Genomic DNA, 17,747 nt, shown 5'->3' with positions numbered 1-17,747 from the left:
GCAAGTCCTTTACAATCTTTGGGATAGTAAAGCCTTGGGAAGGGTGGTTTCCTCCTGTCAACAAGGCCCTAGATGCCAGAGCATCAAGAACAAAGCAAATAAGAAAATACAGTGAATATCCAATTTAGCAACAAAATAAAATGAAGGTGCATTGATTTTCTATTGCCAGATAACAAATTACGTATAGACCTAGTGACTTAAAACAACATAAGTTATTGAGCCAGGGCTGGAAGGTCATCTGAGGCTTAGGGCCCTCTTCCAGCTCTCTGGTTGCTGGCAGAATTCAGTTCCTTCTGATTGTAGCACTGAGGTCCCCATTTTCTTGCTGGCTCCTGGGCTGAGGCTGCTTTCAGCTCTCAGACCACTCTTTGGTTCTAGCTACTGTGGCTGCTTTCTTCTTCCAGGCCAGCAGGAACATGCCTCTCTCTGACTTCTGTCTCAGACTTTAAGACCATAAGAATTCACCTGATTAGATAAGGCCCAACCGGGGCAGTCTCCCTTTACCTTAACTCATCTGTTAAGAGACCTTAATTGCATCTGCAGAAGTCCCTTTTGCCATACATTATAACACAAAGTGAGATCCCATCATATCCACAGCTCTTGCCCCTACTCAAGAGGAAGGGATTATTCAAGGCACAAGTCATCTTAGAATTCTGCCTACCATCGAAGAAAATTATGCCTCCAGAAACCAAATTGAAGAATAGCTGTCTGAAAAGGTTTTTCCTTTCCATCTGGGATGTCTTCTGTATTTAAAGTGGGTTTGTATTGAAAATTTGCATCAAATAACACACGATCTCCCAGCAGAGGGAACAGACACTCCCTTTGAAAGATTGACTAACTCCTATGACTCATCCTTGAGGTCACCTCAGGACCACCAATAGTGCAAATATCCAAGAGGGCTGGTGAGGGTCCCCTGAATAGTGTGCTCAATGGCTTTAGTGCATATGAGCAGCAATACCCTGAGCAACAGCTGAAAGCTTCTCCCATTAAAGGAGTTGGGTACCAAGAGTACACTCAATGGAGTAGACATTAGAGAGTACATGAAAGACAAAGAGGAGACTGAGGGTCTGATTGGGACTGCCCTTTCCCCCTCTCTCCATGGCTCCCAGACATGCATTTTTCAAGTTCCATAAATTACCCACACTCTGGAGCTTTAATGCGTCAGTCCATCTGAGGCTGAGAATAGGCTAAAGATGGTAGAAAAGGAAATATGGAAGAAATGAGGAATGTCCAGTTCATGTTTGCATTTACTGTGTAGAAGATTTAGAATTTTAATTTTTCCCAGCTTTGCTTCCAGTACTCTAGGGCCTCACTGTGAACTAGTATATGCATTCAATGTGTGGAATGTTGTTTTAGGCTGTTTCTGAAATCTGTAAAGAATATTGAGTAAGGTAGAGAAAAGCAATGCTTACTTATTAGACATGTCTGAATGGCTCTTCCCAAATGGCATGGTCCCCCTCACTCTACCCTTGAACCAATCTGAGAGGCCATGTTATAATTAATCTTAAATAATTTGGGAAAATTAGGTCAATCCTGGACCCAATAATTCTTAACAAGAATTCTGTACAGAAATATAGTTATAATTAAGCATTAATCAGGCTGCACTTCGGCCCACTTCCTTGTAACAGAAAGTCAGGTAGGCCTAGACACTGACCATCTGTATCCCTGTTGTTCTTATAGATAGCATCTCTGAGGTTAGAATCACAAGGCTTTTGCTTAAAAATTGCTTAAGATGTGGCCAGGCGCAGTGGCTCACGCCTGTAATCCCAGCACTTTGGGAGGCCGAGGCGGGCTGATCATGAAGTCAGGAGATCGAGACCATCCTGGCTAACACAGTGAAACCCCGTCTCTAGTAAAAATACAAAAAATTAGCTGGGCGTGGTGGTGGGCGCCTGTAGTCCCAGCTACTCGGGAGGCTGAAGCAGGAGAATGGCGTCAACCCGGGAGGTGGAACTTGCAGGGAGCCGAGATCGCACCACTGCACTCTAGCCTGGATGACAGAGTGAGACTCTGTCTCAAAAAAAAAAAAAAAAAATTGCTTAAGATGCTTTTCAGATCCTGAATTCCAGTGGAACAGCTCACACCAACCAGTTAGAAGACCCTCACCTCACAGAGGAACTGAATCAGTATGAGAATACAGCGTCTTCATCTTCTTGTCCAATGCCTTCACCCTGCACTCTTCGATCAACCACTGATCTCCACACTTTGGTCAACTCTAAAACCCTTAAAAACCCTAACCCTAAAACTCCTCGGGGAGACAAATTTGAGGTTTCCTCCCGTCTTATTCAGCGGCTCTGCAATGAACCCTCTTTCTCTGCTGCAACTGGCTGTCTCGGTGTACTGACTTGCTGGCTGCCCATCAGGCAGCGAACCTATTACGGTTACAGCCATTACTGGCATCTAGTGGTGGAGGGTCAGGGATGCTGTTAACATTTCACAGTGCATCCAGTAGCCCCACGACAAAACGTCAATAGTCCTGAGGTTGAAAAACTGTGGACTAAACCAAACCTCAGAGCCTGCTCAGGGTGTGTGACTTTCATTCAGGCCAAACTCATCCCTGTGATGGCAGGTCAAGAATAGACTGAGTCACTAGGAGCTTAGGACACCGCTGCCCCTCCTCATGCCTCTTCCCCAAGGAGTGCAAATGCTCCCTGCTCTCCATAGATGCCGGCCCCGAAGCAAACTCAAGACACTGGGTCGAGAAACACAACCTCCCATAGGGGCAGGACAAAGCTGCCTTCGCCCCTGGCCTGCTGACCTCCAGGGGCTGGTGGGAAGGAAGCAGCATTCCAGAAGCATTAGCTAATTACCGCCCTCTCTAGGACTGCATTCCTTGTCACAGATGCAAAACCTAATAAATCACAGTATATGTTCCTGCTTTTTACTTTCAGGAGAAAAAAAGCAAAAATCCATCAAAGGAACTAACAGAAGGGACTCTGTATACGTCTAGGTTGGTTATGCAGAAGCAGTTTAAGGTGGATAAGCTTGAATCGAATATGCCTTTCTCATGAACAACATTATTTTGTAGATTTATGTAGATTATGTTATGTTAGGTAAGTTCCAGAAAAAAAGAAAATAGTTTATCTTTTGGCGAAGGTGGGGGAGGAGGTTGTGGGTTGTAAAACCAAACATCCTAAGTGTTTCTGGCTATTCATATCTCTGAGTAAGGGAAATACTGCTTGGACTCCTTGCTCTGTGACCTTGGGCATGGTGCAGTGGCTTCCGAGCCTAACCAAACGGGTGCGAAGCCTTATCAGCTGTGTGTCCCTGAGCACCTTTCTTAACTTTTTCATGCCTCAGTTTCCTTATCTGTCAAGTGGAGATAATGCTAGTGCTTATATATAGGGCTGCTGTGAGAATTAAGTGAATAAATATTTATAAGGTGGTTAGAATAGTTCTTGACCTTTAGTTAATGTTGCCTCAATGTTTGTTGATTAATTCTGAAGTCCTTTATCAGCTGTAACACCCTGTGAGTCAATGGTCCTTTTCTGTTGCCTTCGACAATATTATGTAATCAAAATTCTGATCCCAAATGCTGACCTGAGAGAAAATGCCTGATTCGGAATGAGCCAATAGCAGCCCCATTATATTTTCTTTACTTGGCTTTCTGAGCAGCAGTCACATTTAAGGCGTTGCCATCAAAAAGGGTGAAACACAGAGGTGTTTGATTTAGCTGACTTTTGTCAGAAACTTGATTCACTGGACACTGGTTGAGTGGCCTCATTTTGGCTGAGATTTTCATTTGAGGCTTTCTGTGTTTCCACTAGATGGCATATCAGTTTGTTCCATTGTGTTTCTGCTGATTCCTGCTCCTCTTGGGTGTAGATCAATGCTCTTGTTCTGGTTTGGGGGAAGGCTGGTGCTGGAGAAGCTTCTAGAAGGAGCATGGAAACAGCCCCATTTAGCCCCAGGGATACAGAGATGTGGGGAGGTGAGATACAAGGCTCAGCCAGCCTGGAATGGTGCAACAGTCCCCTTTACTCCCCGGCCAGTTAAACCCTGGATTGCACCAAAATGACAGGCTGAGGGTCATCAGCTGTGGTCCTGCTCACTTCCTGATGACAAGAAAAGTGGCCCCAAGGCAATCCTGAGGACACTAAGGCAGTGAGAAGAAAGATAACCTACCCCCACTACATCATGCTTGGCTTGAGGGGACTGCCAGCTGCCAGCCTCCCAACCACACAAAACGAGGATCCAACCCAGCTCCCTTAGAAACAATCAGTGCCTGCCACTTCCTTCCAAGTCTTCTGGTCTCACAGCCTCCTCTGCTGGTGAGAGGCGACAGGAGTTTGTCAAACAGGGTGAATGACATATGTCCAGCATCCACCTGTTGTCTCAGTTATTAATAATGCCTCTTTTACTCTCAAAAGTGGCCCAGTTTGGAGAAGGAAGTGTGTGGTTCATCCTGCACTTAGCATCTTCTGAAATGCTGCAGTGGGGAGGTGGATTCAGTTACCTGGAGTGTGGATGTTGTGGATGTCCCTATGCATGGGAGTGGAAGTGGGCAGAACAGGGCTGCAGCCTGGGGGCTTCTACCAGGTCAGCTGGCAGAATTAGAATCTCTGCTCAGAAAGCCCTCCATGAGCCTGGCTATGGAAGGGCACAATGCCTGATGCCCTTACCTGCCCTTCCCTGCCTAGCGTGAGCCTGTGGGTGCAGCCAGAGGTGGGATGTGCAAGGTAGGCATAGTGGGTGACCTGAGCACTGGTGCTCCAGTGAGTGAGGGGTGGCAGAGCTGAGCACTGTGGGGTGAACAGGAGGTGATGACTTAAATACTACGTGGAATAGAGAAAAGGAAGAAATGGGGAAAGACAGAGAGTTTGCAGCCAACTCACTGACTGGCCTTGGGCAAGTTATTTTTTAGAGTCTTTCTTTCAACATCTGTTAAATGATGGTGTTGATAGATCGTGGCAGTGTTTTGGAGGAAAAGGAAGGATAAGGTGTATATCATGTCTTGTGGATTCTATTTCCCAGAACCTTAGTAGGTGTACTGCACAACAGCCTGCATTAATATTATCATATCATTACTATCATAATACCATTAATTTCATTGCATTGCAGGTACTGTGGCTGAACCTGAGCTCCAGACCTTTGAGATCCTGATGGAATTACAGAGGGTGCTTACATAGGGAGCAGCACAAACCAGCTCATATAAGGTGTAATGAGTTAATCATGTAATATGGAGGATGTTACTAATGTAATATGTAATGTGAATTATTGTGATATGTAGTGTGTATCAGTATAATTTGTAGTGTGTTAGTAATGTAATATGGTTCGTGCTGCAGTAGTTTGCTGTCTACTAGGATGGAGGACTTACATGGATGTCTGGGGCAATCTCCATCCAAATGAGCCATCCAGTTATGAGCATGCAAAGCAAACATTTCCTCCCAAATGTCCACTTACATTTATTGCTTTCATGAGACAGATGAGGCTTCATGGAGTGAAAAGCTTTAAGCACCTTTTATGGATTCACACAGAGCTCTCTGAAGGATGGGCAATGCACCTAGAAACCACAGAGCAGGGGGAACAAATGAAAGAGAGGCCTCAAGACAGAACTCACCTGGAGGGAAAGAAGAGTTGGACAAGCTTCCCCAAGCCCAGCACCCAGGTCTAAGAACTGAAACCAAATGATCTTTTTCCTCACAGCTAGATATAACAGCACATCACCCTTAATTCCAAGTTATCAATGGGTCTTTTAATTAAAGTCTTACCTCTACTCCGCTCTCCTGCTAGACCCAAGCTCCAGAAGGGCAGTGACCCTGTCTTGACCTGCACCTGCACCATCTCCTTCACTCAGCCAGAGCCTGTTACTTGTGGGAACTGATCAGCATTGAGGAATGGCTCGCTGGGCCGTGTGAGTTGTCAAGCACTGACATCGCTTCACCTGTCTCCCTGGTCAGCCATGTAGGCTGTAGTAGAGCAGCTGTGGGGGTGACCCCAAAGGACCAGGACCCCACTGGGTAAGCACAGCACAAAGGGGATGTCTGTGGGCCGTGAAGCAAGCTAGGGTGAAGAACATGGAGAACTTCCCAGGCAGCCAAGGGGCCTGTGCTTGCCTGGGAGGGAGCTGCCCTTGGGGGAACTGTCAGCTCTTTGAGAAACCAGCGTTGTCTAGATCAGCTGCAGGTGACAACTAGGACTGGAGGTGACCAGGAATATTAGAGTTGGGGACTCCAGAAAGAATGAGCTTCCTTCAACCAGGCATCAGGATGTACATATTAATATAATGTGTAATGTGCATTAATGCAATATGTAATGTGTTAATCATATATTCCATATAATTACATTATATGTAATGTGTTATGTAATATCGAGTGCATTATGAATGTAATATATAATGTGTATAAATATAAGATGTAATGTGTTAATCATGTAATATGGAAGGTGTTACTAATGTGATAGGTAGTGTGCATCACTGTGATATGTAGTATGCATTAGTGTAATTTGCAATGTGTTATTAATGTAATTTGTAATGTGCTGTCAATGTAGCATGTAATGTGTATTGATGTAATATTTAATGTGTGTTAATATAAGGTGTATTAATGTCATGTGCTAATAACAGAATAGGTAATGTCTATTAATATATTACATAATGTATATTGCTGTAACATGATGGAGTGTGATATTAACATAATGTGTAATGTAAGCTGGATGTAATTAGAATTAAAATGACTGAGAACTTGGCCTTGGCCAGATGACCTGTCCTGGCCCAGCTTTTTTCTCAAAGGCCAAGTGGAGACAAAAATCACAGGTACAAGGTCTTAGGGAATGACCTGGACTTTCCACAGCCAAAGGGAAAGTCCACAGGAACTAAAGTGGGAGCCATCCCTACTACACACACACACCACTATATTTTCAAGGAACAATAACTTGTAAATCACTTTACTCTATAACTCTTATATGAAAATTACTACTAAAAGCTTTCAAAATAGTGAATACTTTAAAGGCCCTTTCAAAAGAGTAAACCTTTTAGCTGTCTTCTGGGAGCAGAAGGAAGACATAGGTAGCTAGCTAGATAGGTGGATCAACAGAGATAGATTGATTGATTGATTTACTATTTATACATCTGTGTACATTTCTGTGTATGTGTCCGGTGATTTCTTTTCATCGGGGTTTTTTTCAATGTCAGCATTATTGATACTTGAGGGAGGAGAGTTCTATGCTGAGGGGAGCTGCCCTGTACATTAGAGGATGTTTAGCAGCATCTCCAGCCTGGCCTCCACTCACGAGATTCCAGGAGTGCTTCTCCACCTGTGACAATCAACAATGTCTCCAGACAGTGCTAAAGTAGAGGGCCCCTGCCAAATGCAAAATCACCCCCAGCTGAGAACTCTTGCTCTACATTCTAAGGGGGACCACAGCAACATGTTTAGGAGCACAAATCCTGGAGCTCCATGGCCTTGGTTCAAACCCACACATACTAGCCTGTGACCTTGGGCAAGTTAACCTATCTGTGCCCTGATGTCCTCATATGTAAAATGGGGATGATAATAGTATATCCCTCTCCATGCCTTTGCTCTGAGGACTCAACATGTTAAGACGTGTGAAGCCTTTGTTACGGACCCTGACACAAAGTAAGGATTTAGCTCTTGTTCTTCTAAATCCCTAAAGCCACAGAATGGAGAAGCAAGGAAAGAGAATTTCGCATCTATAAACAACCAAGAAGAAAAGTGAGGAGGAGGAAATCTGGACATGTGCTTTGATTCTAAGCCAGCGACCCCTTGTGCCTGGAGAGCTGTAATCTGATGGAGTTCACATGAAACGGCATCTTCTTGAATTAGAACTGGATTTATGAAAACAAAATTATTTCAATAATAAGAGGGTGGTTATCAGTTGATAGATATTCAGTGTTTGGCAAATAGCTAATTTGGGTGATACTGATCCTTCCAAATCATTCTTTATAACTAGTAGCATGAGGTTAATCCCAGCTTTGTCTTTCCCCAGACCCTCCTCCTCCTGCAGGTGCAGGGTCTACTATTTCCCCCTGTTGTTAAGATCCATGGAAAGGAACCAGGCTCCAGGGCAGAAAGTCTTCTCTATTCCACTCTCACTGGAAAATGGAAAAATCCTGATAATGTAGGAGTGTGGTTCAGTTTTAGAATCACAGCTTTTTTTTTCTCTCATTGTTGCACTCTTGTGACCTTACAAGGGTCTATCACAGCATTTGGCGAACTCGGAGTAGCAAGGAAAGTATCCAAAAGCCAATGAGGGTTCCCGGAGGGGCATAGAACATGGGCCTCTGTGAGGTCCAGTCAGTGCCGATGCAATTTAACAGGCTCCAACCCGGTGTGTGTCTGAAGAGGAGAAAGCTGCACTACAGCCGTCTGGCTTCAGGGAGGGTGAGGGGGCAGGGGTGGAACAGATTGCTTTCTAACTTGGAGCTTTTGCTTTCCAGCCAGCCCAAAATTATAACACTCTTGATGATAAGAGCAAGCAGCATGTTCCAGGCTTGGTGTGTGTGCGTGTATGCATTTAAAATAATCCAGGTTCCCCAACCACCCTCTTAATGGTACCACTAAAGTGGTAAGAGGCTTGACTTTTCCTCGAATGTACATTTCCTGGGAAGAATGAGGAACTCTGCAAAGGTCAGTGTCACCATCTGGACTCCAACTGACTTGGCAAGTAAAATAGACAAAGAATGCGGGTCTTTTCTACAATCGATTGCTTTTGGCATGCAGATGAAAATGAATAAGCAGGAGCCAAATTTTATAATGGCTGGTAAATCTGTGGATGATCAACGCTGAAACCTCTGTGACTCCTTTCTTTCCATTTATCACCATTTGTCATATTCTGCTTCCCATGTTTTTGGAACGATGACCAGATGGAAAGCAGACTGCAGCCATCAGGCAGGTGAAAAACAGATGGCCCAGGAGGGAAAGAAACCAGAAAACAGGCAGGCAAGGTGGCCCGGCCTAAGGACCAGCCAGGCCATTTCAGGCGCCAGGGCCCAGGCAGACTCCAGAGACTGTCCCAACACTGTCGGAGCTTGACTTTGTCCCCAGCATCATTATCAATGCTAGGGCACAGGTCGCCTTTATTTATCCAGGGAGAAGTGTGAGACAGCATGATGAGAAAGGCAGGCTTAGAGGTCGAGTGTGCTTCTGAATTCCAGTCTTCTTGGTTGTGGCTGAGTAAAGGTGGATGTGCCTGTTCTAAAACCTTTGAACCATAAGAACAGTAAGTGCTTTATATTCCCATTCATCTGCATTTACTGATTCTCTATGGTTTTTTGCACATTACAAAGAAAGGGAGTCTTCTGTGTCTCCTCTCCTCAGCCACTCACGAATCCCTTAACAATAAGTGTGAAAGTGCACACACAAGCATAACAAGGCTAAAGTTGAATTCGAACTTCACGCTTCTCAGTATCAGAAGTTGATCCCAGAGCTCCTTGGAAGGAGGGGCTACAGCCCAGATGTTCCCAGAGTAAACTTCAGGTACTTGATGAAGTCTTCTGGATAAGATGCCATTATTTATTATCTCCCACCAGGAAGAACCGACTCTGATAAAACCACATTAGGACACTGTCTCTGGGAGGAAATGTTTCTTATTTTTTTAAAAATATTAGTTCTGGGGGTACATGTGTACATTTGTTATATGGATATGATGCTAAGGTTTTGGCTTCAATTGAACCCGTCACCCAAGGAGTAAACATAGTAGTCAATTGGTAGTTTATCAGTCCTTACTCTCCTCCCTCCCTCCCCATGTTTGGAGTCCCCAGTGTCTGCTCTTCCTGTCATTATATCAATGGGTACCCAATGTTTAGCTCTCATTTATAAGTAAGAACATGTGGTATTTGGTTTTCTGTTTCTGCACTAATTCACTTAGGAGAATGGCTTCCAGCTGCACCCATGTTGGTGCAAAGGACATAATTTTCTTTTTTTATGGCTGCACAGTATTCCGTGGTGTATTGTACCACATTTTCTTTATCCAATCCACCATTGATGGGCATCTGGGTTTATTCTATGTCTTTGCAGCTATTGTGAATAGTGCTGCAATAAACATGTATATGCATGCAAAGCTGAAGCCCAGTTTCTTCTTTTATGCCAGGTTTCCTCTTCTCTTTATTGAGCAGCCTCACTGATGTTGAACAGAGCAGCTCAAAAATAATCCCATTTCACCCAATGAATAAAATGTTTTTATGTCATTTCCTTCTGTCCTGGGTAGGGCAAGAAATGTTCTCAGGTTGTCAACAATCGAGGGATCATAGGTTCTTCATTTTGGAGAGCACGATTGGCAAGGATCAGATAAAAGACAAGAGGAAAAGGGAGAGGAGAAATAGAAGCAGATCAAAGACAAAAAGGAATAGGAGGAAGAATCAGAAAGTGGGGTCCCAGAGGCTTCTGTGGGGTCACAGAGACAAAGGGGTTGTTCCTCATACCTTCTCTTTGCAGGGAATACCTGGGAGTCTGAAAACCTTTGTTCAAATAGTAACTCTGTCATATATCTTTTTTACATGACTTTTGAGAGTTATTCAGTCTCTCTGAACCTCACAGCATTATTATTACTATTATTTTTTACCACACAGCATTATTGGGAAAAGGGGTATGCCATGAAAGTCCCAAGAAGGAGACAGGTATCCTATACTTGTTGAATTTGCAGCTAACAGCTATTGAAATGGCCACCAGTACCATCAGATACTGTCCATGATTACCATGTTCTAAAATGGCCCCTAACCCCAGGAAAGGTACAAACATAAACTTCAAAATTGAATTTGAATAATATGCCCCTTTGCACTTAAAGATGACTCTATTTTTAAAAATTCTTAGAGCAATATTTTAAATTTTAGGGTTTATATTTCATTGAAAATTTGTAAACTATGCCAAACTATGACAATAAAATTGTTGTAAAAGAAGAAATCATCACATAGTTGAGTTTAAAAAAAAGAAGTGGGAGGAAGAAGAGAAGAAAAAGACAGAGATGAAGAAGAAGGAGAAGGAGCAGGAGCAGGAGTAGAAGGAGAAGTTGGAGGAGGAGAAGAGAAAGAGGAAGGAGGAGGAAAAGGAGGAGGACGAGGAGGAGGAGAACAATAATAATAACTATGGCAATCAGTCTTGGGTTAATTATTTTGCCCTCAATGCATTAAATCTAGAGAGAACTGTGCAAAAATGCCCCAAAGAGGAAGGTTATTTGAGAGGTAAAGAGCCAGTTAAGAAACAGATAATCTACTTTCTCCCATCTCCTCATTGTTACTCTTCAGGAAAGCACTGCCTGCATGACGAGGGAGAGAGGCTGAAGAGGATGGGTGAGCAGGGCACCATGTCTACCAAATAAACCCATGTAGGCCCAGTCCACATGATAGCCCAGTGTTTTCCAGTGGGTGCCCCACTAAAACGTGAATCCTTTAAGGAGTTCTCTGACAGAAGATTCTGGACAAATGTATTTGGGAAATGCCACAAACCATGCTCCTCTTTTACAGAGTGTTCCAGTGCTCATTAGCACATCAAAGGCTCTGGTAAGTTCTGAGGCTGAAAAGGATACTGGCTTTGCTTGTTATCCCTGAGGAGCTAGGGTTCCCTGGTCACCTTTTGGGAATCACTGGACTGACAACAACAGTATATAAAGTTAACACATCCCATTTGTACACCACTGTAGAGTTTACAAAAAGTGTTCACCTATTATAAGTTTATTTAATCTTCCTTCCAATACGTTGAAAGAGATTTTATGATGACTTCACTTTCCATTTCACAAATAACGAATCTGAAGTCCAAATGTTTAGGATGGCCAGGCACAGTAGCTCATGCCTATAATCCCATCACTTTGGGAGGCCAAGGTGAATGGATCACTTAAGCCCAGGAGTTTGAGACCAGTGTGGGCAATATGGCAAAGACCCATCTCCAAAAAAAAGAAAATTAGCTCGGCATGGTGGGGTGTCCCTGTAGTCCCAGCTACTTGGGCGGCTGATGTGGGAGGATCACCTGAGCTCAGGGAGGTCGAGGCTGCAGTGATCTATGATCCTGCCACTGCACTCCAGCCTGGGTGAAGAACCTATGACCCTCGATTGTTGACAACCTGAGTGAGATCCTGTCTCAAAAATAAATACATAAATAAAAGTTTAGGTAACTTGTCAAGATCACTCAGTGAGTAGGAAAGCTAATGTTAAGGCCCCAGTGTCCTAACACTTTTTCTTGTTAGAGGAATATTGAGAGGTTAATTCAGGGTGTTAAAAACGCTCTTTTCCTGAGGGGTCCACTTACTCTTTCATTCATCTGCTCAGGACACATTTGTTCTTGGATGTGTAGGAACCTGGGATAGGCTCTGAGTCTCCAGAGGCTATAAAAGATAATCCGGTTTCTCAATGAGAAATGCCTCGTAAGTGTTAGGTGACTAGACTTGGGTTCTTCTTTTAAAGTCTTATTTAACTGACTTTCCCATATTTATGATTTAGCCATGATAATGCATTGTAAATATGAACTTTTGCATAGTACATGTAAGAGCAACTCAAGAAATACATATTTTATTATATTAAATTGCAGGTCACTCACATATATTTCAAGAACGACATACAATTTACTTAAATTGAGTACAAATTATCTGCATTTACTGACTTCATGCCAGGGTCAAGGCTAGCTGTATATGCCAGGTGAACTCACTCAGTATTAACAACAATCCCACCAGAAAGGTGGGATTCTGTTTGTAATTCTGTTTTGTAGATGAGAGAACTCAGGCTGGGAGGGAGGATGCTATCACTTGTCTAAGATGACAGTTACTAAGTAGAAGAGCGGGATCTGATCCAAGACTGCCTAATTTTAAATCCAGAGCTCTCCAAATCCCACCATGCAGTCCTACCAGGACAAGCTGTGTAATTTGTGGAGCCCAGGACAAAATGAAAATTCAGGACCCTTGTTTACACAGTATTAAGAATTTCAGGATGGCCAGCTGGGCGCAGTGGCTCATACCTGTAATCCCAGCACTTTGGGAGGCCAAGGCAGGCGGATCACTTGAGGTCAGGAGTTTGAGACCAGCCTGAGCAACATGGCAAAACCCCATCTCTACTAAAAATACTAAAACTAGCTGGGCATGATGATGCAGGCCTGTAGTCCCAGCAAGTCCAGAGGCTGAGGCAGGAGAATCGCTTGAACCCAGGAGGCGGAGGTTGCAGTGAGCCAAGACTGCACCATTGCACTCCAGCCTGGGCGACAGAATGAGACTCTATCTCAAAAAACAAAAAAGAAAAAAGAATTTCAGGATGGTGCCATCAGGGCATTAAACCAAGTGCAAAGCTCTTCTGAGCATGGGCCCCTGTGCAGTGGCACAAGTCACACCCTGATGAAGCCTGTCCTGCATCCCACCAGTCCACACACCAAACATAAGTTCCTTTCCTTTCACCTCACAGGTACGTTCCAGAAGACAGGTTCTTTAGTGTTCACTCACAATTTTGTCAAATCTATGATTTCTTCTCAATGAGAAGTAACTTTGAGCATTGGGTAGATGCAATGAAAGACATTTTCTCACAGTACAGCCCTAGAAAAAGGCATCCAATGGGCCACTTCCCCAAGCTGCTGTTTCGGGGAGGATTTGCTTTTCTGTTTCTGCTGATAGGTGAGGGTCTTGTCCAGAGAAATACAGCCCTGTTGGTTTTATTGCTTGGAAATCAGAGAATGTAGAGCAAAGGGAAGATGAACTGAGTCCAAGGTTCATCTAGAAGTGGTTTCCAGAAACAGAAATGGACACGGGATGTCTGAAAACAGATTTCCAATGTAGCTCTCCATTTCCACTTCCTGATAAACTCACTGGAATTATCTTGTTTAAATCTGGCAAAACTCACCTTGTGTTTCAGTGGGGATTTCCTGGGGAGGTCACTCAATGTAGAAACAGTGCCAGCAGCACAAAGTGCCATGTCCTTTGTGCCCCTGTATCTTTGTTCCTTCAATGCCACAGAAAGGCTCCATGACACCGTCTTGCAAACAGATCCCCCCACCCAACCACTGCCAACCTGCACCCTCTTGGCTCCATGGAACTGTTGATTCTTGACACTGAGATACCGTGTAGCAACTGCATTGCCTGCAGCTCTAAGCCCTGTCGGCACACAAACTGGGAGGTCACCGATCACAGGAATCCACTCCAGCAAGTGTCCCAGACACCATGTGCAATTCTGGGACATGAAGAGTTTCGGGATGAACAATTCTGATCATCTGGGGCTTTATTGTTGGATTGGATTTTTTTATAGCAATAATTCCTTTCAGTGATTCTAGAAAATGTCAACTTGCTGTGATGAAGGACATGCAGAGCCATCCTTACATGTATTTCCAGTGTCAGTGGAGGTAGAATTATTATCTTCTAGAGCAATTGTTCTTAAATTTTAGGAAATGTAAAACCACCTCAAAGTAGTTGCATATTTCTGAGATGTACATCAAGGTAGTCTAATTCCAGGGACTGGGGGTTTGACAAACATCTCTAGTAATTCTCAAGCAGGTGATGCCTGGCATATTGGTTTAATCAATGCCCAAGAAAGCCTACAGGCTCTTGGATGCACCCTCATTGGCCAGTGTACATTTTTCCCCTCTGGGGAACAGCTTTCATACCTTGGCTGTATTCTGTGTTCTGGGAAAAGCAGTTCGATTCATCACACCTCACCCTGTATTCCAGTTCTTTCTCACCTGCTATGGGTTCTGGGAAGCCCGTGGCATCTCATGCTTCCTAGGATCTAGTTACTTTCAAAACAATAGGGGTTAATTCTGATAAGAAATTCTCCATGGTTTCCTAGATATCTCAGGGACATTGCACTCTCTCTTTCCTCTCATGAGCCAGGTTTAAAAGGCTATGAAAAGGTATGACTCTAGATGGAAACATCTGATCCAGACGTGGTTGGCTCAAAAAGTCAGAAACATTTTACAGTAAGGATGCTTCTTTCTTCTACATAACTCTTCTTCCTCTTCCACACAACTAAGGATATTGTCTATTTTTCCAGGAATTGGAGAATACAGAAGAAAGAGGACTGAAAGTAAATGGGGCTGAATAGAAAAAAATATTTTAAAGTATGAGTTCATAATAGCTGGAGCTGGTGAGTCACAGGGAGGAGCTAAGAAAAGTTTCTTCATTTGACATGTAAGTGTAACCACCTTCCCAAGCAGAAATAGCACCATCTGTATCAACCATTCCCAAACTTTGCTCCAAGAAAATTAAATGAGTTACAGGATTTACATTGCAGGGCAGTGGAGCAAGTCCCCGAAATTCAGTGCTTGTTTTCCATGTAGTTAGTGCCCCCTAGTGGCCGAGAGGACCTTCCCTCATCTTGGAGGCCCCTCCAATCAGATCTGTCCCTTGAATTAATGTTGAGTCCTTAGTTGCTTGTGAGATGACCAGGGACTGAAGACCGAGGTTGGGAATGGAAGCAACTTCACTGACTTGGGGGCATACTGTGTGCCAAGCATTTCCCATTGATTGTCTCATTAAATCCTTCAAAATCCATGACAGGGTTACAATTAGGACCCCATTCTACTGTTCAGTAGTTGAAGTGCAGTTAAGTTCCTTGTCTAAGCAACCTGAGGGGAAGGACTGCAGAAAGATCCTGGGGTCATGGGCTCTCAGCACATGGCAAGAAGGAAAGGGAGAGAAGCTGCACCTCGCATTCCTCTGGGGGTGCCTCTTTGCCAAGTCAGCCCTGCTGCACGGTGTTTCCCCTTTGCCGAAGGCTGCTGATGCATCTCCAACCCTTTCTTGGGATGAGCTGCAGGTGGCATCAGGAAGCCTATGGCGTGGAGAGCCCTCAGGACTGAGTTTTTCCAGGGATAATTACTCTGGCAGCATTTGTTTTTTGTGCCTGATGATTTGATTCAAAAAGAGTTGTTTTTCTCTCTTTCTATAAAACCAAAAACGCTGCACCCGTAGGGAGATTTCTCTGTTTTTTTCTCCCCACTTTTCTAGTCACATACAATGACCTATTGTTCAGACCCTTACAGGAGCCCCCCTTTATGGTCTATGTCTATATGGAAATTGCTTTTCACACTAAAACTAGACTTGCACCAAGTCTATCCTGTAGGTAGTGGAGGTCACTTGTTTAATTTGAATTGTTGATTGACAATTAGAGCACACTGGGAATTTTAGATAAGACCCTTCACCCAATCCATCCTGATGGAAGGGTGAGGGCCACAGTGTCTCATTCAATAACGTAGAAACTGGAGGTGCTTAAATAGTGAGAATTACGTCCAAATGATAAATGATTTGTGTAAAACCCTAGGGTTTTGCCTAGAGTAATATTAAACCTACTGCCAGAAAAACATTTAATGTCAGAAAGAAAATGCTGGAAATGAGCCGGCTTCACTCTATTTGCATGAGGCATGCTTGAGGATGAGGACATCTTGGTCCTCGCTGCAATAAGCTCGGCCTGGATGGTGCCAAGGAAAAATGGCTGAGACCAGGATGGTGGAGGTCACTACAAAGCTGATCTGCAGGCATCTTCTGCCCAAGAGTCCCCCTGAGCAACCATAGGATACAGGGCCCTGCCTTGGGCAGCTACAGAGAAATCACATTCACCTGCAGAGCTCCTGCTGCTTTCAGCAGCACAAGGTGTAGCAGTAGTGAGAACCGTCTTCAGAAAGGTGCTGCCCTCTCACGTCACAGGGCAACTGGCTTGAAAAGCCATACCTTGGCTTCAAAGGAGGCCAAGCATATAATTATAAGGAGGTAATGAGAGGTGTTTTTAACTCTGTGTTTTAGACAGGCAAATCTGCACAGGAAAGATTTGTCTTTCATTCAGTTACATTTGTTGAAAGCCCAGTGGCTGTTGGAACGTTTAAGGAACAAGCTCATACTGTAACTAAACAGCATGTACAGAATGAGGTCAGAAGGGGTCAGACATTGGGTCTTAGATTACCAAGAATCCCAAACTGCAGATGATCTGGCTGATGGACCAAACATCAGACCCAAATCCTTACAAGTACATATCACTAAACCACAAATAGCACCAGTTTTAAAGAGAAGACAAATCATCAGGAAGAAATCAATGAAACCCACCACAACCACTAATGGATTCATTAGAAGGAACCCAAACTCAAAACTCTGTGTTTTCTAAATCGCCGGACATGGAATAAAATCGCATCACCAGAGCGGTCCTAGAACTGAGCTGGGCAGCAGTGTGACCTCACTTGGAGAAAGTTCCCAGGGTACAGAAGATCAGCATATTTTGCCTGACAGATCCTCAAGCTCAGTAAGACATTATTAGAGCACAGTAGCTGAGTATGCACAAGAACTGCATTCATTACAGAGGACTACCCTTTAAGTTAACAGAATTACCCTCCCAAAGCTCTATGCACTGGGGATTTAAGAACTCCAGTTTGCTGTAATGTTTTTAACAAGATACGTGTGAGTCTCAGTGTGTGTGTGCATGTATGTGTGTGCCTTTTCTTTATAGGACTATTCTGCCTCCTCCTTAGCACCTTTCATCTTTTCCCCTGAGGTTGCATTCATATTTCTCTGGATTGCTTAGACCCCAACCACCCCTAAAAATTTCAGTTTCTAGAAAATCCCATCCTCCAAGAAGCTTAAAGAATTTTGATTGCTTGCAAACAAACAAACAAAAAAGCACACAGTGGAGGACTCATATTCCCCTACTTTACAGAAAATAAGAAAAGGTGAAGCATCAATTACCTTCTCATTGAGTCCTTCACCACGCTGTACAGCTATCCTTCCTCTGAAGACGCTGCTTGGTCATTACCTCACTGGGCTGGGAATCCAGCAATCCCACAGGGAGGCATGCTTCAACGTACCATGAAATGGGCTGATGTACCAGGAGCACAAGCCTAGGGGTT

At 43.9% G+C, this 17,747-nt stretch overlaps 1 long non-coding RNA gene across 1 annotated transcript, besides 1 other annotated feature; it reads right to left on the bottom strand.

The window, feature by feature from the left end:
* Nucleotides 2,603-2,897: an enhancer, noted in NCBI's record as "tiled region #8394; HepG2 Activating non-DNase unmatched - State 10:DNaseD, and K562 Activating non-DNase unmatched - State 23:Low". NCBI's record gives its function as "activates a minimal TATA promoter and a strong SV40 promoter by Sharpr-MPRA in HepG2 cells, with weaker activation in K562 cells {active_cell/tissue: HepG2 | K562}" and the evidence as "EXISTENCE:reporter gene assay evidence [ECO:0000049][PMID:27701403]".
* On the bottom strand, nucleotides 2,972-17,732 carry LOC124905020 (uncharacterized). Its single transcript, XR_007067862.1, has 3 exons — nucleotides 17,587-17,732; nucleotides 5,404-5,503; nucleotides 2,972-3,874 (listed from the first exon to the last, which is right to left on the bottom strand). It is a non-coding gene; the product is annotated as an uncharacterized LOC124905020 (long non-coding RNA).
* Between the last annotated feature and the right edge of the window lie 15 nt (nucleotides 17,733-17,747).

The sequence above is a fragment of the Homo sapiens genome, chromosome 21 (genome assembly GCF_000001405.40).
Source record: "Homo sapiens chromosome 21, GRCh38.p14 Primary Assembly".
Taxonomy (NCBI): Eukaryota; Metazoa; Chordata; class Mammalia; order Primates; family Hominidae; genus Homo; species Homo sapiens.
Note: the sequence above shows the minus strand (reverse complement) of the source record. Positions and strands in the feature narration are given on the sequence as shown.